The sequence below is a fragment of the Homo sapiens genome, chromosome 2 (assembly GCF_000001405.40).
Source record: "Homo sapiens chromosome 2, GRCh38.p14 Primary Assembly".
Lineage (NCBI taxonomy): Eukaryota > Metazoa > Chordata > Mammalia > Primates > Hominidae > Homo > Homo sapiens.
Window position 1 is genome coordinate 46,956,073 of NC_000002.12, and position 26,107 is coordinate 46,982,179.

The 26,107-nt window shown below is 50.2% G+C and overlaps 1 protein-coding gene across 16 annotated transcripts in view, besides 3 other annotated features; it reads left to right on the top strand.

Annotated features, from left to right (window-relative positions):
* TTC7A (tetratricopeptide repeat domain 7A) overlaps nt 1-26,107 on the top strand; it is a 160,258-nt gene that overhangs the window by 40,207 nt on the left and 93,944 nt on the right. For 14 of the 16 annotated variants that reach the window (XR_007078570.1, NM_001288953.2, XM_047445148.1 and 11 more), the window contains 3 exons: nt 767-935; nt 18,901-19,031; nt 22,720-22,835. Coding sequence is in view for 13 of the 16 variants with exons in the window: in NM_001288953.2 (NP_001275882.1) it covers nt 767-935; nt 18,901-19,031; nt 22,720-22,835 (416 nt within the window). In the remaining 3 variants the exon portion in view is untranslated. Of the gene's footprint in view, nt 1-766; nt 936-2,422; nt 2,481-18,900; nt 19,032-22,045; nt 22,178-22,719; nt 22,836-26,107 lie in introns of those variants that run through there. The other 2 variants (XM_047445145.1, XM_011533000.4) reach the window with 2 other exon arrangements.
* Nucleotides 952-1,451: an enhancer, noted in NCBI's record as "H3K4me1 hESC enhancer chr2:47184163-47184662 (GRCh37/hg19 assembly coordinates)". NCBI's record gives its function as "activates a minimal SCP1, AML or CMV promoter by ChIP-STARR-seq in naive H9 embryonic stem cells {active_cell/tissue: H9 hESC(naive)}" and the evidence as "EXISTENCE:reporter gene assay evidence [ECO:0000049][PMID:30033119]".
* Nucleotides 11,878-12,172: an enhancer, noted in NCBI's record as "tiled regions #1272 and #3994 (exact overlaps); K562 Activating DNase matched - State 1:Tss". NCBI's record gives its function as "activates a minimal TATA promoter and a strong SV40 promoter by Sharpr-MPRA in K562 cells {active_cell/tissue: K562}" and the evidence as "EXISTENCE:reporter gene assay evidence [ECO:0000049][PMID:27701403]".
* Nucleotides 18,094-19,293: an enhancer, noted in NCBI's record as "CDK7 strongly-dependent group 2 enhancer chr2:47201305-47202504 (GRCh37/hg19 assembly coordinates)". NCBI's record gives its function as "activates an origin of replication core promoter dependent on BRD2, BRD4, P300/CBP, MED14 and CDK7 cofactors, with strong dependence on CDK7, by STARR-seq in HCT116 cells {active_cell/tissue: HCT116}" and the evidence as "EXISTENCE:reporter gene assay evidence [ECO:0000049][PMID:35650434]".

Consider the following 26,107-nt stretch of genomic DNA (forward strand, 5'->3'; position numbering starts at 1 on the left):
ACAGGATCCCAAGCCACAGTAGGGGTGATCATGGCTGACAAGACCACTGCAGGCCCTAAGGGAGGCCCTGAGAGTTCCTCTGTGGGATGGAGATTGAGATGTAAGCAACTTTTGAAAAAGGAGGGGAAAGAAAACACGTTTAAATTCAGCCACTCTTGGCCTCCGTGATTCTGCACTTTGACCCATTTCTGATAGGAAGAGGATGGTGACGCAGCAGGCCCTCTCCTCCTCAATCTGTCCCTCTGCCACTGTAGGGGGAGGCATAAGCTTTAGGGTCCTCACAGGCTGTTTCTAAGGCCTTTCACCTAATTATGATTTGCATATACATGTACACAAGAGGACTCCCAAAATGAGAAGCCTGGGGCTCCACAAAACTTAACTCCATCTCTGACTCCCCACTTGTGTTTAGAATAAATGCCTGAGCTTCTGAGTGCCCCCTGGGGCTGCAGTCTTTGGGGGGATTCAGGAGAGGGAAGACAGGGCCTAGTCTGCAAGGTCTCTGGAGTCTTGCTGGGGGCATAAAACGCACACACATGAAACAATTAGGGACTCATAGGAGAATTTTATTGAGAACCACAATGTAGGCTGCAGACCATGGGTGAGAGCGGGGAGCTGTCGGCATGTGCTTGAGCATCAAAGAAGGCTTTCTGGAGGAGGAGGGGAGTTCTGAGCAAGGTCTGAGGCAAACAAGGTCCAGGTTCAGTGGGGGTGTTCACCCCAAGGTAACTTTGGGGCAGGCGCTGGTAACATGTCCTTGTCATTTCAGCCACAGTACATGTGTGAGGCCATGCTGATCCTGGGCAAACTGCATTACGTGGAGGGCTCATACCGAGATGCCATCAGCATGTACGCACGGGCCGGGATTGATGACATGTCCATGGAGAACAAGCCCCTGTATCAGATGCGGCTGCTGTCGGAGGCTTTTGTCATCAAAGGTAGCTGTGGGCACCAGCCTGGGCTCCCCTCCACTGTGTGCAGCTCGTTGCACTCTGACTCCCAGGGCCCTGCTGGGCTCGTGTCCAGATTCTTCACCCCTGGTAGTGCCCATGCCCTGGCACTGGTGTCTAAGGTGGATGCCGGTGGCAACCGGCCATGTTGACATTGCCTGGTGCCTGGGACGTTAGGAGACTCAGATTCTCGCCCTGGCTCTGTCAACAACAATTACCCTACTTTGTGTACCCTTGGGCAATCACCTCTTCACCTCCTTTGGCCTCAGTTTACTTGTTTGGAAGATACGGTTGTAATACCTGACCTCCCAGGGTTACCATGACCAAGAGTCATCAGCAGAATTGTGTAGCAAGGTTGAGAAAGGTTTACAAAGTATGACCTCTCACTGGCAGGCTGGCTCTGCTGACTGGCGCTGGCCCCAGAGCAGGTGCTGGATGCTGTAGGAGTCTGCCACTCCTCAGTTATTTGTCGGGCACCTGCTGTGAGTGGCCCAGGGAGCAGGGGCTGAGACCCAGTGATGAACAGGTCAGAACCAGTTCCTGGAGGAGCTCTTAGCCTTCCAGGGTCAAGGGGTGCTCTGGAGGGGATTTAGGGACATGGGTCAGTGATGTAGGAATTTTATGAGGGGGCTGTGGACAGCCCAGCTGGGGGAATCGTGCCATTTAACTGGACCCCAAATGTGTTCAATGTTAAAGTCATCCTACCCCAAACTTTGTGCTTCAGGCTCCTTCTTCCCTGGATCCCTGGCTGCGGGAGCCCCTCTGCCCAGCCTGCTGTCCGGAATCTTGGATGTTTGATCGTCTCCCTAGTGCAGCACAAACCAACCTCCAGAGAAAAGTCTAGAAAAGATGCCTGTGGCTCAGTGGGCATTTGGTGCCTGGCATTTGTAGACTATGTGACACACTCTATTATAGATAGGGACATTCTCACTATCTTGTGGGGAAACTGAGGCCCAGAGAGGATAACTTGCCCAAAGTTACCCAGATACATGGTGGAGCCAGGATGAGAACCTCCATGCTCTGACTCTGGCCTTGGAGTGTGAGTCCTCCAAGGCCCTGCAACACACACTCAGTTTCCCCTGTCTCCCCTGGGTCCCAGGAGGAGTGACTGTGACATCTGTGGAGGGCACACCCTCCTTGACTCTGGCTGGTGGGACTTCTGAGGGGGTTCGCCCACCCAAGATCCTTGGATCCCTTTTCTGTTGGGTCCACACCATGCCAGGAAACCTGGCAAGATGGTCACTGTGGGTGGTCTTCGTCCTTTGCTCTCTCATCCCCCGCTCTGCGCCTCTGGCACAGGCCAGTCTTGGGGGTGATCTGCATTTGGCATTTGGGTCTTTCGGGTCTCTTAGAAACCCCTTCAGCCATGGACGCCCTGAGCGGAACCCCCTTCCTCGGGCTTCCTTTCCGGGACTTTCTCCTGAGCCTGGCTCAGGATGGATTGCCCCCTGTCTCCTGCTCTCTCCTCTTTCCAGCATGCCTCCGGCTTCTTGGGGGAACACAGTCCCGGTGGTCAGAGGTCCTGCAGGGGAGGTAAGGAGACGGGCGCTGCCGGCGCGGGCTGCTTGGTCTCAGGCTGTGCTAGCTCCCGTTCCCCAGTGACTGCACATGGCCTCCCCTTTGCCTGCCTCCTCTCTGCCTGTCCTCCTCCCTGTCCTGCTGCAGTGACCACGCCTGCTGCCCGGCATGCTGAGGTTTGCCTGACCCTGTGTGTGCTTGAGACCATGCACGTGGCCACCAGGGTGTGCATGATGTTGATCTGCCTGGGTTTGGGGGATCCGGTGGGTCTTCCCATGCAGAGTAGAGGCCACACCCTTCGGGGGCTGAGGACGCTGGTCATTGGTCCTGACTCCGTCTGTGAGCATGAGGGTGGTGGCAGCAGGGGCCACAGAGTTCACAGAATGCTGATATTTATTCAGCCCCCCTCCATGCCAGGTAGGCCCTCGTTGAGCCCCCTCTGTAACCCTCTGAGCTGGTGTTCCCCTCATTCTATGTCGCGGATGAGGAGTTAAGGTTGGAAGAAGTGAGGTGACTCATGCGCGGATCTCACAGGAAGTGGCAGAGGCAGGATTTGAACCCAGGCAGCTGGAGCTTGTGATACTGTTGCTGAGAATCCTAGGATGAAAGGAATCAAGTGATCCAGGCCAAGCCCTCATGTTACAGTTGAGGAGACTGAGGCTGACAAAAAGGAAGCAGCTTACTCAGGACATCAGTTAGCATGTATTTGAACTGGAGTCCTCCTTCCCAGGCAGCCCCTCGGTCTTGGGCTCCGTTTGATGCTGGGCTGCCTGCAGGAGCCTGACTGACCCACACTCAGCACTCCTTGGCAGACTATTAGGCCATGGCTTGACTCCATTTTTCACAGGAGTCTGCTCTGTGGTTCTGTTTGGTACTCTCAGGGGGTGGGCAGTCTGGGTCTCAGGCACATCTGGCTGGAGGAGGAGGACAGGGCCTGTGTGTCACAGGGGAGCCTGAGCTGGTCAGGCTAGGAGGCTCTGTGGGGGCCCCAGTGTGGAGCGGTTCCAACATGGAGCTGCTGTTCTTTTTAGGGGAGTCAGGAGCAGGCCCTCTGTCTCTTCGCCCCCACCCTCAAAAGACATAAAAACATATTCCCCTCACCCTCTTTCCCCATCAGAGCAGAGGGACTTGCACTGTGACCCTGTGAGGCGTCACTCACAAAGGCCCTGCCTTCCTCTGAAATGTGCCTCTGTGTGTTACACCCAAAGATGCTTTCTGATTCCCGGGGAGGCTTTAGACATCAACCCGGGAGCCTGAGTGAAGGGGCAGTTGCAGCAGTCTTGGGTTTTCCTTAGCCAGAGTGCAGACACATCACATGCGTATTTGTGTATATAAGGTGTGGGGGAGTACATAACCTCCACCTCCTCTGAGGGGAAAAGAGTTATTGTCCATGTCACATTTGCTTAGAAACAATAGAAAAACCACATGTTCCCCCACTAAGATAGAAAAATAAGACAACTTCATGGAAAGACCTATTGTTTCCATGTCCAGGTGGTCTGTGCCCAGCCACCAGCATTCCTGGTCCCCTAACATTTGAGTCACACATGTGCTCAGACTGACCAGGTCCAGCCAGGAGTAGGAGACTGGATTTTAGGGCCTCTTGGTAGCACCTGGGAGGTGGGCTGGGCCCTGCTGGAGGCTCTGGAAGAAGAATCACCTCTTCCCTGGTCCTGCCTTCAGCTGCTCCTGGCTGCAGAGAAGTCATCATATTGACCTGTTGCTCAGTAATGCCCTGTTCTGTGGTCAGCTGCTCCCAAGTCACCTATGGCCCTGGACAGAGCCTCCCCTGCCTGTCAGAATCCCCTGTTTGATTCTTCATTTCCCCAGTACCAATTTCCTGAGCTCCTCTGGTATACCTGATATTTGGTGGCATTCCCAGAAACATGGGGTACAGACCCATCCCTCTGGAAGCTGAGCCTCTGATGTATGTCTCTGATGTATGTGCATGTAGGGGGATGGGGGGAAGCAGGATGATCACATGTGCACCACCCAGGAGCTTGCAGGGGCCCTCCCCAAACTCACTGAATCAGAATCTACACCTTACAACTTTCCCAGGTGATGTACACGCACATTACCGTTGGTGAGACACTGCCCTGGAACACTTGTTTAATAAATATTTGTTGACTGATGGTTAACCTTCATCTCTACTCTGTAAATGGGAGGTGGCCATTTTAAGGATGAAGAAGCTGAGGAAGTTCACGCAGCCTATAAGTAGCATTGGTGGCCAGATGGATGTCTCTAAAGCTTGTGTCCCACCTGTAACAGAGGAGCCCACCAGAGGGTGCTGGGAGGCAGATTACAGTTGCCTCCAAGATGGGTCAGACAGATGAGGACTTTCTCCTCTCTGGGCCTCCTTCAGCCCTGGCTTGAGTAGGGGCTACAGCCCTGGTGAAGCCCTGCAGCCATTTTCTTGGCATTTGCTTTCCCAGGGCTGTTTTTGGGTATTTGTGGACGAGTTGTTCAGAAAATTTGCTTTTATATTTCAACCTAACATCCATCAACTTGGTCTAGAGTGGAAGCCCACTCCTCTCCTACCCTATTCCCCAGGCCCTGCCATGGCCCCTTTGTAACTTCCGCCAGCCTACGGACCCCTGACCAAACATGTCAGATCAGGGGAAGACCCTGGAAAGGAAATGTTCCCAGCCGATTCCAGGTGCAGGTGACAGATATATATTCAGATGAAACAGCTCCATTACCATTCTTGTTTGTTTGGTAAAAAGGGAACATCATCCATTTACTCTGTATTAAAAATAATCAGGCCGGGCGTGGTGGCTCACGCCTGTAATCCTAGCACATTGGGAGGCCGAGGTGGGCAGATCACGAGGTCAGGAGATCAAGACCATCCTGGCTAATGCAGGTGAAACCCTATCTCTACTAAAAATACAAAAAATTAGCTGGGTCTGGTGGCAGGTGCCTGTAGTCCCAGCTACTCAGGAGGCTGAGGCAGGAGAATGGCATGAACCCGGGAGGCGGAGCTTGCAGTGAGCCGAGATCGCACCACTGCACTCCAACCTGGGTGACAGAGCAAGACTCCATCTCAAATAAATAAATAAATAAATAAATAAATAAAATAAAAAATAATCTAGGCTGGGTGCGGTGGCTCATGCCTGTAATCCCAGCACTTTGGGAAGCCGAGGCGGGTGGATGACTTGAGGTTAGGAGTTTGAGACCAGCCTGGCCAACATGGTGAAACCCTGTCTCTACTAAAAAAAAAGAAAGAACAAAAAATTAGCTGGTCATGGTGGCATGCACCTGTAATCCCAGCTACTTGGGAGGCTGGAGAATCGCTTGAACCTGGGAGGCGGAGGTTGCAGTGACCCGAGATCACACCATGGCACTACAGCTTGGGTGACAGAACAAGACTCCGTCTCAGAAAAACAAAAATAATCTAGAATGCTTTGGTTTCAAGGCTCTTCTAGGATGGCCTGTCTGCAGTGCTGCCCACTCCCTTGGCAGAACCCTCTGCATTTGACTCCATGTGCTCATGGCTGTGAGCCCTGTCTTCCACTGAATTCCAAGCCTCTTGAGTACAGGTGGTCATTTCTTTTGTACCCTCAACCAATCTCCCTCTCTCCTTTCCTGAAGCCCCACCTGTCTGCCTAATGAGGTCTGCTCCTGGTGTCCAACATAATCTGTGAAGTTCTTCCCTTCACTTCTTCTTGGGACATTGTCCTTGCCTTTTTTCTTCACTCTGCACAAAGCTGTTTCCTTACATTCTCCTCCGACACAGTTCAGTGTGTCCTGTGCTGAGAGCTTCCCTTGGTTGTTCAGCCTGCAACATCGTCTCCCTCCTCCCAGCTCACTTGGACCTCAGCTCAGTATGCACGTCCATTCTACCCAGTTAGGGGTCAGTATGTTCCTCCACCGAGCGTCTGACCTCTTGCAGTTGTATCCCCCAAGGCTCCTGGCCCACCTCCCACAGGAGGAAGTAAAATTTGTCAGCAGTTGATTCAGCAAACACCTGCTGGGAATGCCAAGTTAGGGTCACTTCCTTTGAGGGAGTGGCAGGTGGGTGAGCAAAGCATGCTCCTGGAGGGATGCAGCTAGAGGGGAAGCAGCTGTTTGGAAGACCCCAGAGTGGCTGGTCTGCTGCTCCTGCCATGGCTCATTGGGGCAGTATGGCAGACTTCCTGCCTGGCCATGGTGTCTCGGCCATATGGCTGTCTCTAGTTCTGTCCCATGGGAAGCTCTGCCTTGACTCTTGGCCTTTTGGCCACCAGAAAAGGCCATTTGTGAAGAGTCCCCTCTGGGCTGCTGCTTCTGGGCAGCCCACCCCCTGATGGGAGTGGAACACTTGAGCCTACCTGATAGGTTGAACAGTGCAAGGGCTTGTTTGCCAGGTTTGGGGTCTGTCTGCCTCTACAGCTCCTTAAAACTCTGTAGTAATAAGCCTTTGGGCAATTGCCATTGCATCATCTTCATGGGTGAGAACCTAGAGATAAAGATGGTGTTGACTTCAAGTCCATGGATCTAGATCCAGGCCTCAAGGGTCTGTCGCTCAGCAGCAGGCCTCAGGGCTCTTCTCAGGCACCCACCCCTGGCTCTCTCGCAGTGCAGTGAGAGCTGCAGCAGGGGGTCCTTGTGAGGTTTGCATGGGGAGGGATTCAGGCCTTTCCAGCCTTGTCTCCTAATAGAATCTGGTCCCCCTGTCTCCTCTGGCACTGCCTTCAGCAAGGACAGAGAATTTTCAACTCCATTTATCTGACTTCACTCTCAGCTGTCTTGCATTGTTTTATACAGACAAAGCTTTCTTATTCGGAGAGGCTGCCAGGAGTGCTGCTTGTAAGGCTTATTTTTATAGGGCTTAGCATGGGCCCCAAGAAGCATCCGGCATAGGCCAGTATCCTGAAGTGTTCCACCACATGCCCAAGGTCTCACCTCAAGACAAAATAGGCTGCATTCCAGCCGGTAGTGCTGCTGCTGTCTATCTGGAATTCCAGTTTCTTAGCTTGGAGATGGCAAAGTCCTCACTGCCCCACCTGACCTCAGCCCAGCCAATCCTGTATTTCAGGAATTTTCCCCTCGGACATCATGCCTCTGGGGATCAGTTTCTGCATAACCAGACTTATGGTTATAATAACCAATGTACAACTCCAACTAGTTGGAAAGTCACAACAAAAAGGAGGGACTGGATATTTATGGCCCCTTGTACTAGAAAGTTGTTGGAGCAGCATGGCATCAGGCATAGCTGAATCCGGGGGCTCAGCTATTGAGGTCTGTTGAGGTCTTCCTCAGCAGCTCCAGGAGTACATGGTTCTTGCAGTATGGCACCCACAAACTCAGAAGGAGAGACTGCCTGGGGAAGCTTCTCATGGACCTGGCTTGGTCTCATGCCCACCCTGGAGCCAATTGTGCCCAGCACCTAGGATACTGGGCTGGTGTCAGGGGTGGGATTTCCCCCACCTGAATCTTGTGGACTGAGATGTGGGAATGGTTCCTCAAAGGAAAACCAGGGTACGGTTATGAAAGTAGGTAAAAGGCATGGAGGCAGAGCCCCAGAGCGCAGGCAGAAATGATTCACCTCAGGTTACACCAGTAGTTGCAGGGTCAGGCTGTGGACATCGCTCTCTCTGACTCCAGCATTCAGGCTTGTTCGATTGAAGCACTCTTGCAGAGGGAGGTGAGATCCAGCTAGTTGTGGGGCCTTCACAGGCGAGCTGGGTGGTGAGCCTGAACTTGAGGATGAATCACCTACAGTTGAGGGGAAGAGGTGCCTTCCAGCAAGGGAAGGCCAAAGGGAAGCCCCGGGGGAAACAAGGGGAGGTGGCTTGTTTGGAGGTGCAGTGTAATCATACTTCTTGGAGCCAAGAGGAGGTGTGTGTGGGATGGATTGGGAATGAGTGTGAGGGCCAGGTGGGCCCCATGAGAGGGCCCAGAGCGGAGAGCCCACAGTAAGGCTCAGGGTGTCTCTCTTCACTGGGGTTTCTAGATCTTTGGCTGTGGGTCACCACACCCTGAGGTGCACCACAGCCTGTTCCCCCTCAAATCAGGCTCACCTATGGTTCAGCACTCTGTCTGGGGCAATCTTCTCTAGGGTCTGGAGCTGAGGGGTCTGGGCCCTAGACTAGGATGAAGCCTTTGTGGATCCAGGGTAACAAATCACCCACTTTTTTGTTGGTCTGAGCTCTGAGGGTTATTCCCTGGCTTTGATTGGCATCCAGGATGTTTCGGGGCCTGCTCTTTGGACATCTCTAGCTTTAGCCCGTTCAGCCTCCCCAAGCTCCGGTGGGTCTCTTCCATTTCTCTAGCACTAGCTCAGTGTGCTAAGGGCATGGAGAGTGACTGCCATTTCTCCAGCCATTCATTCTACCTTGAGCCTGGCAGACCTTAGTCATTGGTGCCTAATTTAGGGTTCACTGTGGCTCCATGGATGGAGCACAGGCCCCTTGAGAATGGGTCCTGCCCCCAGCGTCAGCCTGGCCGGCTCGCGTTCTCCTTCACCTCACACCCAGCGCCAGGGAGGTCCTGATGCCCTGACCGTGGTGCACATGAACTGTGCAGTGCAGTGACATGCTAGGTTGTGAAGCTGCTGTGCAAAGTCAAAAGGTGAAATGCCCTCAGCAGCCAGAAGGATTATGATCTGCAGATTCTCCTCTCCCCGCCCGTTGAAGATGGGCTTCTTTTTTTACTGTTCTCTTTTGGTCAGTGCAACCCCAAGGTATTCTGCTGTCACCTGGAATTGTGTGGCTGATTAAAACTTTTTAAAAAGAAAGAACACTACGCTGCTTCCAGGACAGGATATGATAGCATACTTGGTTTTTGTGTTTTTAGCCCTGGTATGGCGGGAATTCACTGTTGATTTTGGCTTCCCTCTCCAAGGGGTGTGGGCTGTGTGCCTCACATGGACAGGAGCTCAGTCCCTGTGGCACTGCTGTCTTGGCCCCAGGTGAGAGGCTGGCTTCCAGATGGAGAAGGAGGAGCAGGCTGCTAGGGGATCAGGCCTCATCCAGCCAGAGACCTGGAGCTAGTCGACACTGATGCTTTTAGCTGAGGGGTCTTGGAATTAATCCGTTTTCCCTGGATTCATTTTTTTTTTTTTTTTTTGAGACAGTCTCACTCTGTTGCCCAGGCTGGAGTGCAGTGATGCGATCTCGGCTCACTGCAACCTCTGCCTCCTGGCTTCAAATGATTCTCCTGTCTCAGCCTCCAGAATAGCTGGAATTACAGGCACGTACTACCATACCCTGCTAATTTTTTGTATTTTCAGTAGAGATGGGGTTTCGCAATGTTAGCCAGGCTGTTCTTGAACTCCTGACCTCAAGTGATCCGCCTGCCTCAGCCTCCAGGAGTACTGGAGTTACAGGCGTGAGCCACCATGCCCCGCTTAGATTTTTTATTTGTAACTCTGGAGAAGGGTTAAACCCTTACCTAAGAGGTTATTGTGAGCATCACTTGAAAATATTTTCTAAGTGCATACTTTTTTTTTTCTTGAGGTGGAGTCTTGCTCTGTTGCCCAGGCTAGAGTGCAATGGCACGATCTCAGCTCACCGCAACCTCCACCTCCCGGGTTCAAGCAATTCTCCTGCCTCCGCCTCCCGAGTAGCTGGGTTTACAGGCATGCGCCACCACGCCTGGCTAATTTTGTATTTTTAGTAGAGATGGGGTTTCTCCATGTTAGTCAGGCTGGTCTTGAACTCTCGACCTCAGATGATCCTCCCGCCTCAGGCTCCCAAAGTGTTGGGATTACAGGTGTGAGCCACTGTGCTTGGCCTGCATACTTTCTACTCTTTATAATATTTCATCTAATTTAATGATCATGGCTACACTACGAGCTAGGCATTATTAGTAACTCTATTTTGTATTTGCGGAAACAGACTTAGCACTCTGTGAACATTTTGAGGTATATCTTTCCAGTCTTTTTTCCCTATAGGATTATATATGCTTTTAAAATGTAAGTTCATACAGTCATGTTTTATAATCTGCTTTTTAAAAAAGTATTTCATGAGTCATTTTTCAATACACCTCTATGTCACTGTAAGTAACTTCATAGCATTTCATTGTAACGTTCTATCCTAATTTTGTGAAGTCCCGTCATTGGACCTGTATGCTAAATCTTTTTTTTTTTTGCCATTATAAATAATACTGAAATGGATATCCTTGAAGCTAAATTTTGTATACATCACTTTTTTTTTTTTTTTGGTGGAGATGGGGTCTATGTTGCAAGGGCTGGTCCTGAACTCCTGGGCTCAAGCAATCCTCCCACCTTACCCTCCCAAAGTGCTGGGATTACAGGTGTGAGTCACCACCCCCAGCTTTTTTTTTTTTTTTTCGAAGATAAATTCCTAGAAAGTAGAATTACTGAATCATAGAGTATACATTTTTTGGAGACTTTGATACAGAAGCCAAATTGCCTGTGTTTTTTGTTTTTTTTTTTTCCGTTAAAAAATTGTGTTGGCCGGGCGCGGTGGCTCATGCCTATAATCCCAGTACTTTGGGAGGCTGAGGCGGGTGGATCACCTGAGGTCAGGAGTTCAAGACCAGCCTGGCCAACATGGCGAAACCCCATCTCTACTAAAAATATAAAAATTAGCCAGGCGTGGTGGCGCGTGCCTGTAATTCCAGCTACTCAGGAGGCTGAGACAGGAGAATTGCTTGAACCCAGGAGGTGGAGGTTGCCGTGAGCTGAGATTGTGCCACTGCACTCCAGCCTGGGTGACAGAGCAAGATTCCGTCTCAAAAAAAAAATGTGTTAAATATACATACCATAGAATTGACCATCTTAACCACTTTTAAGCGTACAGTTCGGTACTAAGACACTGTTGTGCAACCAATCTCCTGAACTCTTTTAACATTTGCATTATTGTGCAACCAGTCTCCAGAATTCTTTTACCTTGCGAAACCAAAATTCTATGCCCGTGAAACAGCAACGCCCCATTCCCTCCTCCCCTAACCCCTGGCAACCACTCTTCTATTTTCTGTTTTTATGAATTTGATTACGCAAGTACCTCATGTAAGAGGAATCATACAGTATTTGCCTTTTTGTGTCTGGCTCATTTCACTTAGTAAAATGTCCTCAAGGCTTATCCATATTGTAGCATGTGTCAGAATTTCCTTCCTTCTGAAGGCTGAATAATATTGTATTGTATGTATGTATATGTGGCATTTTGTTTATGTGTTCATCTGTCAATGGACACTTGGGTTGCTTCTACATTTTAACTATTGTGAATAATGCTGCTATAAATGCTAGTGTACTAATACCTCTTTGAGACCCTGCTTTCTATTCTTTTGGGTATATACCTGGAAGTGGAATTGCTGGATCATATGGTAATATCTATTTTTAAATGTTCTAATTTTAACAGAGTGATCTGTGAGGGTTCTTTCCTACCTGGCCTTTCGGTTTCCCCCCGAGAGCTGAATGAATTGCATTTTTTCGCTTCTTCCCGTGGCTGCAGGGTACCCAAGTCTGGGATTCATCTTCCGTGGGTGCTGCAGCTGTCCTCGTGCCCTTTGACAGGCTGGGTAGGTGGGAGGGAAGGGGTTCTGTTGCTGAGGATGTTTTCTGTTTTCTACCTCTGCATCCAGGGCCCAAGGCTCCAGGGTTCCAAGGGTGGGGCTTCTTGGAAGGGCGGCTGCCTTGGATGTGATGAGTCATTCAGACTGAAGGAGTTGGGACCAGCCTGGTGTTGGGCCTGAGGCTGTGCCAGGATCAGCTTGGCTCCAAATCGAAAGTTCTGAGTTAATGAAAAAGCAAGTCCTCCTCTTGCAAGGGACCTTTCCTAGAGCTGGGTATTGGCACAGAAAGGCCCTTGCCGGTGGGAATCACAAGGCAGTGCCTGCCCTGCAGGGCTGTGTTACAACCCTCCGATGCCTCAAGGACTGGGCGCAGGGCAGCCCACCTTCATCCTGGATTGAGCACTGTAGTCTGGCCGTTTGTGCAGAAGCGCTCACGGGGCAGAAGGTAAAGAAAAGAAACCCAAGCCTGCAGCACCTGGGTGGGCTTCCAGTCAGATGTTTGTGGACAGGAAAATAGACCTTATCAACCAGGGGACAAATACAAGGTTCCCGGCCCCTTTTTATGGGCAGAACTGGGTGACTGGACTGTGACCTTGCTTAGGAAAAGCCACTGCCAGCTCCAGAAACTTTTTGGCCCTGTGTATATTGGAAATTGCTTTATAGAGGACCGCCTCCGTGAATGTACCCCTCTACTTTGAACTTTTATTTCTCTGAATCATGACAGCTCCCTTCAAAAAGGCATTATCTCCATTATTTTTAGATAAATTTTCATATGGTGACATGTACAAATCTTAACTGTATAATTTCATGAATTAGGCCAGTGTAAATATCCATGTGACCAGTACCCTAATAAAGATACAGAACATTTCTATCACCACAGAAAGTCCCCTTGGGCTCTTTTCTAATTGGTCTCCACCCCAGGCAACCTCTGTTTTGTTTTTGTGTTTTTTTTTTTTTTTTAAGAGATAAAGTCTCGCTATGTTGCCCAGGCTGGTCTCGAACTTCTGGGCTCAATTGATCCCCTGCCTCAGCTCCCACAGTGCTGGGATTACAGACGTGGGCCACCACTCCTGGCCTTATTTTCTATTGATATAGATTAATTTGCTTTTTTGAATAAATGAAATCATACAGTATGCATTTTTTTTATGTCTGGTTTCTTTTGCACATGTAATTTTTAAGTAATTCATTTGTGTTATGTGTATATAAGAGTTTGTTTTAAAAAAAAAATCTGGGCCGGGCACGGTGGCTCACACCTGTAATCCCAGCACTTTGGGAGGCCGAGGCGGGTGGATCACGAGGTCAGGAGATCGAGACTATCCTGGCTAACATGGCGAAACCCCATCTCTACTAAAAATACAAAAACAAAATTAGCCGAGCTTAGTGGCGGGTGTCTGTAGTCCCAGCTACTCGGGAGGCTGAGGCAGGAGAATGGCGTGAACCCGGGAGGCAGAGCTTGCAGTGAGCCGAGATCGCGCCACTGCACTCCAGCCTGGGCGACAGTGCAACCTCCGACTCCCTGGTTCAAGTGATTCTCCTGCCTCAGCCTCCTGAGTAGCTGGGATTTACAGGCATGTGCCACCATGCCCAGCTAATTTTTGTATTTTTAGTAGAGACGGGGTTTCACCATGCTGGCCAGGATGGTCTCAATCTGACCTCGTGATCCGTCCGCCTCGGCCTCCCAAAGTGCTGGGATTACAGGCATGAGCCAGCGTGCCTGGCCCAGGAAATATTTTTTAAGTAGAGAGGGAGGAACTCCTTTGGGCTGTACACTTGGCTACGTGAATATGCTCATTCATCTATGCATCCGTCTGCATGCTTCCTAAACCCTAGGCCCTGGCCATCACTGGGGTGCAAAGATCAGTCGGAAATGGGTAGAGAGGATGATGACAATGCAGGAAAAAGGCACATACTTAGGAGATGCAGCCAGACTGTTCAACTGGTTTAGACACAGGGAGGCTTAACTCTACCTGGCAGGGTTTCAGAGAAGAGGTGGCTTTGCTTTGAGCTTTTTTTTAAATTGAAATGGGTCTTGTTCTGTCACCCAGCTGGAGTGCGGTGGCATAATCTTGGCTTACTGCAGCCTCCACCTCCCGGGCTCAAGCAATTCTCCCACCTCTGTCTTCTGAGTAGCTTGAGTCACAAGTGTGCGCCACCAAGCCCAGCTAATTTTTTCTATTTTGGGGGGGACGGGGTTTCACCATGTTCCCAGGCTGGTCTCAAACTCCTAAGGTCAAGCAGTCGCTTGCCTGGGCTTCCCAGTGTGCTGGGATTACAGGTGTGAGCCACTTCGCCTGGCCTGCTTTGAGCTTTCAAGAAGGATGGGATTTGGGGTTCTTGGAGAAGCATGATGGGGAGGCCCCTGCGGGGAGTGGAAGGAACAAATGCCACACAGGGAAGGTGGAGGCCCACAGACCATTGTTCCTGAATTCACAGCTTTGCGGTGGCCAGCCCTCTGGAGGCTTGGGGCTGGCAGCTTGAACTAGCCAGTAGCTGGCATCACCCATCCCAGTGCTGGACCCGGAGGTGTGGCAGGAGGGAGCCCAGCCTCAGCACATCTCTCCGGGGACTACAAGGCAGCTGTGTTGAAACAGATCCACTCCATGTCCCCTGGAATTGGCTGTGCCCTGCCACCTGCAGTTGGTCTCCTGGGCCAGGCCTCTGAACAGTTCGTAGGTTCGCCCCACCTTCCTGCAAGGTGGATAGGCTGCATGTCTGGGGAGCAGGGGCTGGCCTAGCTCTGGCAGTGAGCAACGAGGCCTGCCTCCTTGATTCTTTCTCGGTTCCTCTTCCCCCTTTAGTCCTCTGGAATAAGGATCCTCCCCCTCCTGGTTGTGAGTCATTTGGCAGTCGTTGACACCCAGTGTCCTGGGCACCTGGGTCTTTGTGTTGAGCAAGGACCTTCATGTTCTCTGCCCGCTTTCCTCCAGGCCAAGGCAACCGAACTTTGGATCTGGTCACACCCCAGCCTGGCAAAGGGACAAGGTCACTGAATCTGTGTGCATGGGAATGTGGCTAAGAAAAACAATAATAATTCCTTACCTTATATTTGCAGAGCACTTTGCACTTTGTCAGACATGACCAGGCTTGTGTTTTTTCATCCAGCCAGCAAATGCTTGTCCAGTACCTACTGTGTGCCAGGTGGTAGAAAAGTAAACACGATTAGGTTGATGTCTTGAAGGAGCCTACAGTCTGGGGAAACATATGAACAAATAAGTATAAGAAATGGTGAGTCAGGAATATGTATAGACTGGGGCTTAAAGGAGGAATGTTTGGTTATACCAGGGAATATCGGGAAGGGCTTTGTAGAGGAGGTGGCATTTAGTGGGTCAGAATATGAACAGTAATTTTGGGTAGACCTGGTGGGGTGGATACATTCCAGGCAGGAGGAACAACTTGAGCAAGTCAAGAAGGCATCCTACAACCTAGCAGTTGGGAGCAGGAGGTTAGTTGTGGATATGGCAGGTAAGGTGAGGGATGAGGCTGGAGAATTGATACCAGGAGGGCCTGGTGTGGAGCTTCCAGAAGTTGGACCTTACTCTGTAGCAGTGTGGACCCCTGGAGAGTTTTAGAAGGATCCCCCTGGGGATTAGAGTGAGACTGGAGGCAGGGAGGCCAGTTAGGCCGATGTAGTCATCCACTCAGGAGATAAAACCTGAAATAAGGTAATAGGAAGAGAGGAAGGGAAGGTTTGAAGTGCTGAGGACTTGGTCATTAGGTGGATGTTGGGGCTTATAGGGCAGGAAACAGTTGAGGATTCTTCCATTATACATCTCTTCAGTAAGTTCATCTTGAGCCTCTACTTACTACATGTAAAGTACCTAAAGTGTACTGTGTGGGCACAAAGATGGGACAGACATTGATTCTTCCCGTTGGGAACCAATAGTTCAGAAGGACAGCACTCTCTAGTCAGGTCTATATTAGCTGCAAGTGACAAAAAAAAAAAGAAAGAAAGACAGGAAGGGACGGAGGTAGGGAGGGAGGGAGGCAGGGAGGGAGGGAGGAAGGAAGGAAGGGAGGAAGAAGACATGGGAGCTATTTAATGGCACTCATACACTGGAAATTTCCAGCAGGTAGAGCTTCAGGCAAAGCTGGATCTAGGTACTCCGTCTCTTTAAGAATCCACCCTTCTCTGTCATGTCATGTCTTTTCTCTGCATGGATTTCATTTTTTTCGTGACTAAGAGTTTATTCAATATTTTTCCTGTCTTAAAAAAAAAAAGTAACCTGACGCAAATACAGTTGTTTTTCCATACAGCATTAATTTCTAGTAAGGCTAACAATGCTATATCCCTTCTGTGTTTCTTACAGATTGTTTTTATTTTTTTGAGCTTTTTGTTTTTGGCCTTGAAGCTTTTCTTAAATAAAAATTTTAAATCGCAGTAAAAAAGCCCCATACAACATAAAATTTGCCATCTAAACCATTTTTAAATGTACACTTCAGTAGTGTTATTTATGTTCACATTGTGTAGACTTCATTTTAAGGCAGGTTTTCTCTAACATTTCTAAGCTGATGTCTGGTACCAGCTTAACAACCCCAGTGGAAAGAGCGACAATTCTAAGACTGGTTTTTATTGGCCCAGATTAGGCCATGTGCCCACACTTAGCTGATTGCCATGGCTGTCATGATCAGCTGAGATTGCAAGAGAGGTGGTCAAAAGGAGAGCAAGGTGCTATTACTGATAAATGGGAAAGTGGGTGTCCCCTGCAGGCAGAGACCTGAGCATGGGTAACTTCTGCAGGGAGGAACTGTTGGGTTCCATGGGAAGTGTGCATGTAAAATGCTGCATAACTCGAGCACCTACTATGTGAGGTGCTGTTCTAGGGTTGTGGTTGTCCAAAAAGGTTCACATTTGCCCTCGTGGAGCTTTCAGCTAGTTGGAGAGAGAAGAGCTGGCCGGAGATGACCAAAATATAGTGTAGAAAGTGGTGAGCACCAGGAGGGTGGATGTTTTTCTTCTAACAACTGGAAATGTAACCAAGTAACCCCATCTTCAGGCCAGAATTCACTGTGGCCCAGATGGTATTGGGTCCAGATAGTATTATGGTAAAACATCCTCTTTTTCCTAGTCATGGGCTCACAACTGTATGCTTTTCAATTAACCAAAATGCACCCCGAGGGGCTCTTTGAGGGGACAAAGACCTTGTTGCCCATGTCCAATCCTGTTCCCTCTTTAAATCCAAGGCCCAGGAGCAGAATGGAGCCCCTGAAATTAAGGGTTGTGGAACAGCAAAGTGAAGGGAAGGGGAGAAACTTGTCCTCGCGTTTTATGGAGGAGATAAGAGTATGGACTATCTGGCTGGCTTTTGCAGCACAGCCAGGTTTTCCAAGAGTGGCATGAGAGAGAGAATGGAAAGAGAGAGGAAAAAGTAGAGTGGCAGAAGAGGAGCTCGAGAGCCTTCCAGCCACCGCATGGTGCAGGGAAACCCTTGCTACCCTCATTTATCCCCCGTCAGGGAGGGCCTCAGTGCCGAGTGCGGCGGAGGATGGATCCCTCCCACTGCCGCAGGTTGCCGGTTGAGGTGAACTGTTTCCACCTGGAGGGAGCTAAGGAAAGAAAGAAGCCTGTACACAAAGTCATACATTCACACAAACAAATGGCGTGCTTCCAAACAAAATTCCCAGTCGAGGGACTGAGTGGAGTTCTGAACCCCCTGCCTCAGCTCCAGATACCTTCACAGGCAGCTGAGTCCCTATAGTGACACAAATGTAAATGCTCAAAATGCCCAAATCGTGCCAGTAGCGGCCAAGTCTGCACAGAATGAAGTCCCAGGATACCCAGAAGAGACAGAAAAAAGTCGGGTACAGTCCAACTTGCTCACCCAGTTTCAAGGTTGCCGGCTTCTTCAGAGGTCACTTTCTTTATACCAGTGAAGCATTGGAGGCAGCAGATGTCGTGCCAGGGGGTGAAAGGGAGGTTTCCCCAAAACAAGAACGTTTTGGCAGCTGCTGAGAAATCCCCTTAACATTCCTATCCTGGAGTCCAGTAGCCAGGAGCAGCTGGTGCTCCCAGGCAGCCCCCGCCTTGCCTGGTGGTGAAACCAGGCTGATAGGCTCAATCGTCCAAAGTGTACTGCAGTCCTCATAGGGGCCACCAAAATTGTAACTGAAATGCAGTTCAGTCACTCGCCACTTGCAGAGTCCAATTAACAAGAGCGAGGTCTGGAATAAAGAAAGTGACTTTATTCCAAAGCTTAGCTTAGGGGAAAAGGTACAGGCTCCTGCCTTTAAAGATAACCACTTCAGTTCCTGGGCAAAAAGCAGGGGCTTTTAAAGGGGTACTTGGCATGAATGCCATGCAGAGGAGGGAGCAAGCAAGTGCAGGGTCTGCATGACTTGCCTTGGTGCCTTACCTACCAGGTGGTCGAGCTGGCACCGTCACGGGCAGAGCTAGGTTGTAAAGTGAGCATTGCTTCAAGATACTCTCCAGTTGGGAGAGAGTTCCCTCTCAGTCACACTTTAGGATGTAAATTGACTGTTGTCTCTAGAGGCAGTCTCCTGGTGGGAAAGTTCTGGATCTGGAGCTTCTAAGTCAGCACATGGATAAGCTTGCTGTGTAGGGAGTGTCTGGTGAAGGGAAGGTAAAGGTTATTGCATTTCTAAAGAGCTAAGTAGGAAATGGGGAACTAGGGAAAAGGAGGAAAGAGGAAAGAAAAAAATAAATTTTTTTAAAAAACCTCATTCTCTTTCGCTTAGAAAAATGGGGATACTGCGTTACAGAGGAGGGGTCAGGAGTGGCTTCCCCGGGTAGTTGGGCTGGGGTGATGCACTGTGATTCCCCACGTGCTGTCCCATCGCTTACTCCCAGCCACTGCTAACACCACCGTCGCTTCAGCTTCCTCCCTCCCCTCCGCAGACCTCCGCCTCCTCCTGGCTGCACCAGAGTGTCTGCCCCCTCGGATGAGCCCACCTTCGGCCCATGGGGAGGGCCTGGAGTCAGGGGGCCCGAGCAGGACAGGTCTGAGGCACCCTCTTCCTCCCGCAGGCCTCTCTCTGGAACGCCTACCCAACTCCATCGCCTCCCGCTTCCGCCTGACAGAGAGGGAGGAGGAAGTGATCACCTGTTTTGAGAGGGCCTCCTGGATCGCTCAGGTGTTCCTGCAGGAATTGGAGAAGGTGAGCTGGAAATAACACCGTGGTAGGAGCTGCTCTCTATTGAGCACCTATGTCTATGGATCCCACTAAACCCATAGGTCACCTGTGTGCTAATTAGAAGAAGTCACCTTCTCTGTCCCCCAAAGACACTCTACTTCATAGTTGGAAAACTCATTATAGTATACTGATTCCACTAGAATGAGACTCTTTACTGGAAAATAGTTTGATAAATGAGTCCATGCCATCCGCTAGGATGTTTAATAGATGAGCTTTAGGAGATTGAATCATTTGCTCACCATTTCTTTCCCTGGCAGGGGTGGAGTCTGCCTGGGTCTTGCAGTTGGACATCCTTCCCTGCTCTCGGTGTCCCAGAAGCTCCTCCCTGGATCCTGTGAGGAAGCAGGATCTTGGGACTCCTTCTCCGAGCCTTTCAGAGGCTGGTAAAAGAGTTGGTCGGCAGGGCTCTGGCAGTTTTCAGATCCCCCTCCCTCCCCACTCCCTGTGGTGGGTCTGGGTTAACTGTCTGCAGGGTATCAAGTACAGGTGGTAGCAGCGTTTGCGATAAGTATCCCAGCCCTCCCCCTTCTGGGAGGCTCTGGTTTATTTTTATGTATTTTTTTACTTTTATTTTTAATTTTTATGCATTTTATTTATTTATTATTATTTTTTAGATGGAGTCTTGCTTGCTTTGTTACCCAGGCTGGAGTTCAGTGGCACGATCTCAGCTCACTGTAACCTCCACCTCCTGGGTTCAAGCGATTCTTCTGCCTCAGCCTTTCGAGTAGCTGGGACTACAGGCGCCTGCCACCGTGCCCTTCTAATTTTTGTATTTTTAGTAGAGACAGGGTTTCACCATGTTGGCCAGGCTGGTTTTGAACTCCTGACCTCAGGTGATCCACCTGCCTCAGCCTCCCAAAGTGCTGGGATTACAGGCCCGTGCCCAGCCTCCATTTTATTCTTTTTCCCTCCGCATCTTAATACTATGCCATGAGGGGCCCTTGGTTCAATGCTAAGGGGACAGGCAACTATATTCAACAGAGATCCTGCTAGCCCTTCTTGAGTGCCTGCTTTTGTGTCAGACACAGCTCCAAGCACTTTACATTCATTCTATAATTTAACCCTCACACTGACTGGATGAAATCGGTCCTGTTGTCATTCCCATTTTACAAGTAAGAAAACAAATTTGAAGAAGAGTTAGCTTCCCAGAGTTTACCTCATTAATAAGTGCTATTGGCAGGATTTGAACCCAGGGAGTGTGGCTGTGAATGCTCGTGGGGAAGATATTGGGGATGATGCTCAGGTATTCTGTGGAAAAGATAATTTAACATGTTAGATGGAAGGTTCTAGAGCAGCATAGATTAGGATTGGTGCCCTGAAGGAGGAGGTGGTCATGGGCCGAGAGACTAAGAGCCCAGGAGACACTTGCACCTCGCCTTCCTTGGCAGATGCCAAAATGTCAGTCCAGTACCCGTTTTTGTGATGGGCCATTTTGGAAGAGTCCACCCCAGGCCAGGTCATTTCCCCTAGAGCAGGATTCTCAACCTCAATGCTGTTGACATTTGGGGCTGGAGAATTCTTTGTTGTTGGTGAGGGCGGGGGGCTGCCGTGTATATTATAGGATGTTCAGCAGCATGCCTAGACTCTCCCCACTATGCCAGTAGCACTATCCCCCTTGTTGTGACAACCAAAAATGTCTTCAGTTACTGGCAACTGTCCCCTGAGGGCAAAGTCACCCCCCTGCTGACAGCCACTGCTCTAGAAGATGTCTGCTTGATTGGACTTTAGGAGGAAAGGAGAAATGACCGATGGGCTCAGCAAATATAGGACTTGAGTGCCCATTCTTTGGCAGAGGCCACTTAAAGGCTCAGCATGGTTGAGTTGACCTCCACCAAGGGGGAATGGGTCACTGCTAGACAGTAGTAGTGTTTTAGGAGCTTTTCATATTTGCATTGCATGTGGTTGGGAGGAAACTTTCATGGAAAAGATAAAGTCTGCTGCTCAGCTGGAAGCCTAGGCTTTGGACTTTCAAAAGGGGATTAAGGCGATGAGCTATAATGCCAGGCACTGTACTGTCCCTGTCAAAGGTCTGATGATGATGTCCAGGGCTGGAATCAGTGCCTGGTAGCAGTGGGCAGACAAATGGGACCCTATAGTTGTTATCTAAGTTGAGGGAGGGCAGGCCACAGAATCTTGTGCATCCTCAGAAATACTGTGTGTCCCTCCTGAGACCCAGTCCTGACCTCTGAGGAACTAAGACCTTCTCTTAAATCTCCTCTGGATTCTGAAAGAGGAGGTGGATGCCTCATTGATTTTTTTTCCCCTCAGATTAGACAAAGGAAATGGTATACAGAAGGCAAGCCTGTCTGGTTGGGCAGGAGGACCCTGTTAGAGCTGAGGCTTTTAAGCAACAGCTCAGTTAATGAGGTAATTGTTCCTCAGCTTTTCCTGGAACCAGAGGGCTCTCAATTCTCTGGATGTTCTGACGTTCCATGCTTGTTTGAGAGGGACAGTACGGTGCCTGGCATATAGCAGGCACTTAGATGTTTGTGGAATGAATTAACTGATACATAGTAGAAATAGCTTGGAATCCATACCTGGCTAGGCTTGAGTTTGAGGTCCGGACTGACACCAGCTTTGTGATCTTAGGCATTAAATTATTATTGATGGATTGATTGGGACAGAGCCTCACTCTTTTGCCCAGGCTGGTCTGGAACTCCTGGCCTCAAGCGATTCTCTTGCCTCGGCCTCCCAAAGTGCTAGGATTATAAACGTGAGCCACCACATCTGTAATTGACACTTTTGACCTTAGACATTTTCTGAGCCTCAGTTTCCTCATCTATAAAATGCAAACAAAACCAGCCCTGTAGGACCGTTGTGAGGCATAAGTAAGATTTGGGCTTGGGTGGCAATTTTCTAAGAGTTTCATTTCCCCTTCTCTTTCCTTAACTGGAGGTGGGGCATGGACAGTAGTGAGACTCAGGAGACACAGCTCCTGTCCTGTGGGAGTGAAGTCTGGTGGGAGCTGAGGTTTGCATACACAGAACAGGGAAGCAGTGCTGCGTGAAGCGGTCTCTCTACCATGTGCTCAGGCAGTGAGTGCTGTCTGGTTGAAGAGTGAGTGCTCAGCATGGTTCTGGACAGACAGAGAAGTCCTCCTGCAGTAGAGGGTAAGAGTGGAGAGGGGAACCTGACTGCCTGGCTCCGCCACCACCTGCCACGTTAGTGGCCTTGGGGCAGGAAGAGACCCTCTCTGTTCTCACCGGTGAAATAGAAATGATGACAGTTCCTACCTAATAGAGCTGCTCTAAGGACTAAATGAGCTAATGAATTTAAAGCTCTGTGATTGTTGAATGAATGTTAGGGGCTTAGTGCAGTGGTTCATGCCTGTAATCCCACCACTTTGGGAGGCTGAGGTGGGAGGATTGCTTAAGCCCAGGAGTTTGAGATCAGCCTGGGCAACATAGTAAGACCCTGTTTCTTAAAAAAAAAAAAAGACAGAGGGCTTGTGGGCATCTAACGGTTGGATGGGGAGAGAATGCTTTAGACATATTTTGAGTTAAAGCGAGTTAGATCAAGCCTGGTCTGAGAATGCAACAATGTGCCCCTGAACAACTGGGACTGGGATGGTGATGAGGCCACCTCCTCTTGCTGAGTGACCCTCTGCCTCAGAACTTTGAGACAATGGCTCTCTCTCTGTTTCCCTTCCCAGACCACAAATAACAGCACGTCGAGGCATCTGAAAGGCTGTCACCCGCTTGACTATGAGCTCACCTACTTCCTGGAAGCTGCCCTCCAGAGCGCCTATGTGAAAAACCTGAAGAAGGGGTAGGTCACTGGTAGTTGAGTGAGTGGGAGAACGATTCCCCTGGGCTGAGGCTTTTGACGTGGCCTTAAGGCTGCTCTCCCTCTTCTCTGGCCTGTGCATACGTGCTCTTCCAAGAGGATTGGTGGGAACTGGCTTGTGTCACATCTTGTCAGACAGGAGTGTGCAGAGACGTTCTTAGTGGGAAGGGCCACGCTTCAGGAAGCCACAGAAGCAATAAAGCCTGTGTGTGCTTGGGGGAGACTGCCAAGAAGAGAAACAGGAGTGGGCATTTCAAGAGGGGAGGGTGGAGGGCATCTGGGAGGTGATGTTGAAAAAGCAAAGGACAGTGAGCTGGCCAGTGGGTCTGGTTTTGTCTACTGTTGTCTGCAGTGTGAATGAAGTTATTTGGTTCCTCTGAGCCTCACGTTCCCCAAAAACCCAATGGGAAGGCAGATTCCTGTTCATTCCGGCTTTTAAGGAGTGGTGAAGGACGAGGGAAAGTATGGTAGAAGTGAAGTTCTGGCGTCACGCTGGGGCTGTGGCTGTCCCTGCTGACGAAGCAGCAGAAGTGCTTGTTTTCCTGTGGGTTGTCTTGAGGTCCCTGGAATACTGGCCTATCTGAGACCTAAGAACCATAGTGCCTGGAATGCCTTCCGTAGGCTTTTGCTCCTGGGTGAAGCAAGACCTGCCTTGTTGAATAGTCGAGGGGGTGGCTGGTGTTAGGCCGGGAGTGGTTGTTTCATGGGGTGTGTTGGGTGGTGGCAGGGGAAGGAGAAGATTCAAGATGAGGAGTGCGTATTGGCAGCAAGTGTCGCTTCATGGCTATTCCGCAACTGGTCCGGTCTGCTGGCAACATCTCCACCAGTCTGGGGACTCCCAGGCGGGAGCTGAGGTTTCCTGCCTGTCTCTGCAGCAGAGGCTTTGGGCCCCTTCCTCTGCGTCATTACAACCTTAGACAGACACAGTGGGCTGGGGCTGGAGGACATCACTGACGAGAGGAGCAGACCCATAGGTGCCAAGCGCAGCCGTCCCCCGTGCGTAGTCACGCCCTGCCTCACTCAGCCTTCCATGGCCATGGGTCAGGCCCAGTAGGTGTGACCACCTCCTCACACACAAGGAAACCAAGGTCAGGGTCACACAGCTTTCTTGTCACTGACTGCCTGGAGTTCTCTGAGGCCTGTGTGCCATTTTTAGTGTGATTTATTTTGTTACATTTCACTTTATGCATTCTTTTCATTACATGCTTTTGAATACATGATTGTTGCATATGGTACTTGTTTAGTAGGATAAAGCAAACTTACTGTTTTCTTCTACCCTATACTCTCTCTCTTTTTTTTTTTTTTTTTTTTTAAAGACAGATCTTACTCTGACATCCAGGCTGGAGTGCAATGGTGTGATCATGGCTCACTGTACCTCCTGCGTTCTGGGCTCAGGTGATCCTCCCACCTCAGCCTCCTGAGTAGCTGGGACAACAGGCATGCACCATCACACCTGGCTAATTTTTTGTAGAGAGGGAGTTGCATTTTGTTGCCCAGGCTGGTCTCAAACTCTTGGACTCAAGTGATCCTCCCGCTTCAGCCTTCTAAAGTGCTGGGATTACAGGCGTGAGCCACTGTGCCTGGCCCTACTTTATACTCAATACAACACAGGTCATTTCTGTGACCAAATGTGGGGTTTTTTCCGCGACTCACAACCAGTTCTCTGACACCAGCTGGGTTTCCAACAATTAAATTCACCTCTGATGCTAACCGTCAGGCTTGATCTGGGCCCTGGCTGGGGCAGGGGAAATGGAAGGAGTCTGGGAGGGGCACAGAGGCTCAGTCCCATGAAAGACTGCCTTCCATAGCAGATACCAGTCACAAATAGCAGGTTCCCAGGTTACCAACAACTTCTGTCTCAACTGGCTACAAATCAGGTTCCCACAACCTCTTCTCAGATCCATAAGTTGCCAGAGCAGCTCATGGAACCCAGGAGAGCAGTTTACTTGCTAGATGACTGGTGTGCAGTACCACGTAAAATGGTACAGCCTAGCCAGGTGGAAGAGGCGCATAGGGCTAGGTATGCGGAAGGCATGCGGAGCGTCCAGGGCCCCTCTGGGTGCACCACTGCCACGTGTCCAGCAACCTGGAAGCTCTCCAAGCCCATGCTTTTGGGTTTTTATGGCTGCTCCATTACGTAGGCATGATGTATTATATCATTGGCCACTGGTGATCAGCTCAACCTTCAGCCCCTCTCTGGCCCTTGACAGAAAAAATTTGCTGATCCCCCCCGCCACTTTAAATAATTACTTTAAACATTTTGATACATCTTTCGTGTTTTTCTATGTGTAGATACACAGATGTATTTTTTTTTTTTAACAACCACAACAAAATAGTATCCTAGAGGACACACTGCTTGTAGCTTGCTCTTTCCACCCAGGCTTGGCTGTGAGCCTCTTTCCTTCCTGCTTATCTCCCTTCCCCACAAAGTTGCTCGATGTGGGGGTCGAGGAGGAGGTGAGCTCAGAGCTATGTGGGGCTGGGCACATAGTGGACTGTGGCAGGTCAGGCTTGATCTGGGCTTTGGTGGGGGCAGGCGAAATGGGAGGAGTCTGGGAGGGGCAGAGAGGGTGGGATGAGGCTGAGGATTGTAGGACAGTAGGAATCTGCAGGAGAGGGTCCATGGCCAAATAAGTTTGGGAAACAATGGATTGAAGACCTCTGAGACTCTCTAGAACCGGAGCCTGAAGTGGGTCATGAATCTCCAGGAGGCGGCAAAGGCCCATGAAGCTGCTGACTGTTCGATGTGGTGCCCTTGTATGGAGTGGGTCTCCAGGTGCTCTGGGACTGCCAGGGGAGCATTCTGACCAAAGCACACCGTTCTGGCCCAGGCAGCTTTTCCATCTAGCAGGTATCCCTGCCCAATGGAGCTGCTTATCAGTAACCTTGAGCTTGAGTTCTCAATTGCCTGGAAGAGAAGGAGGTGGAGTTGTTTGTCCAGAATGTGGAACAGGCTGTGGTGAGGTCACTTCCAGGAGGCAGTGGCTGTGATGACTGCAACAGGCAGGTGGACCTGGGCCTTGGGGAGGCAGTCCTGCCCCAGCAGGACCCTTGACCCAGGGGAGGCCTGTGCCCTTTTCTCTTTCTCTCCACCCTGCCCTTGCGGTTGTGGGGACAGGCACGCACGAGTCCCTATCTTCCAAATGGAAAGAATAGGGTGGAAGGAGCTGGGAGCAGTGGCTCACATCTGTAATCCGAGCACTTTGGGAGGCTGAGGTGGGAGGATCGCTTGAGTCCAGGAGTTTGAGGCCAGC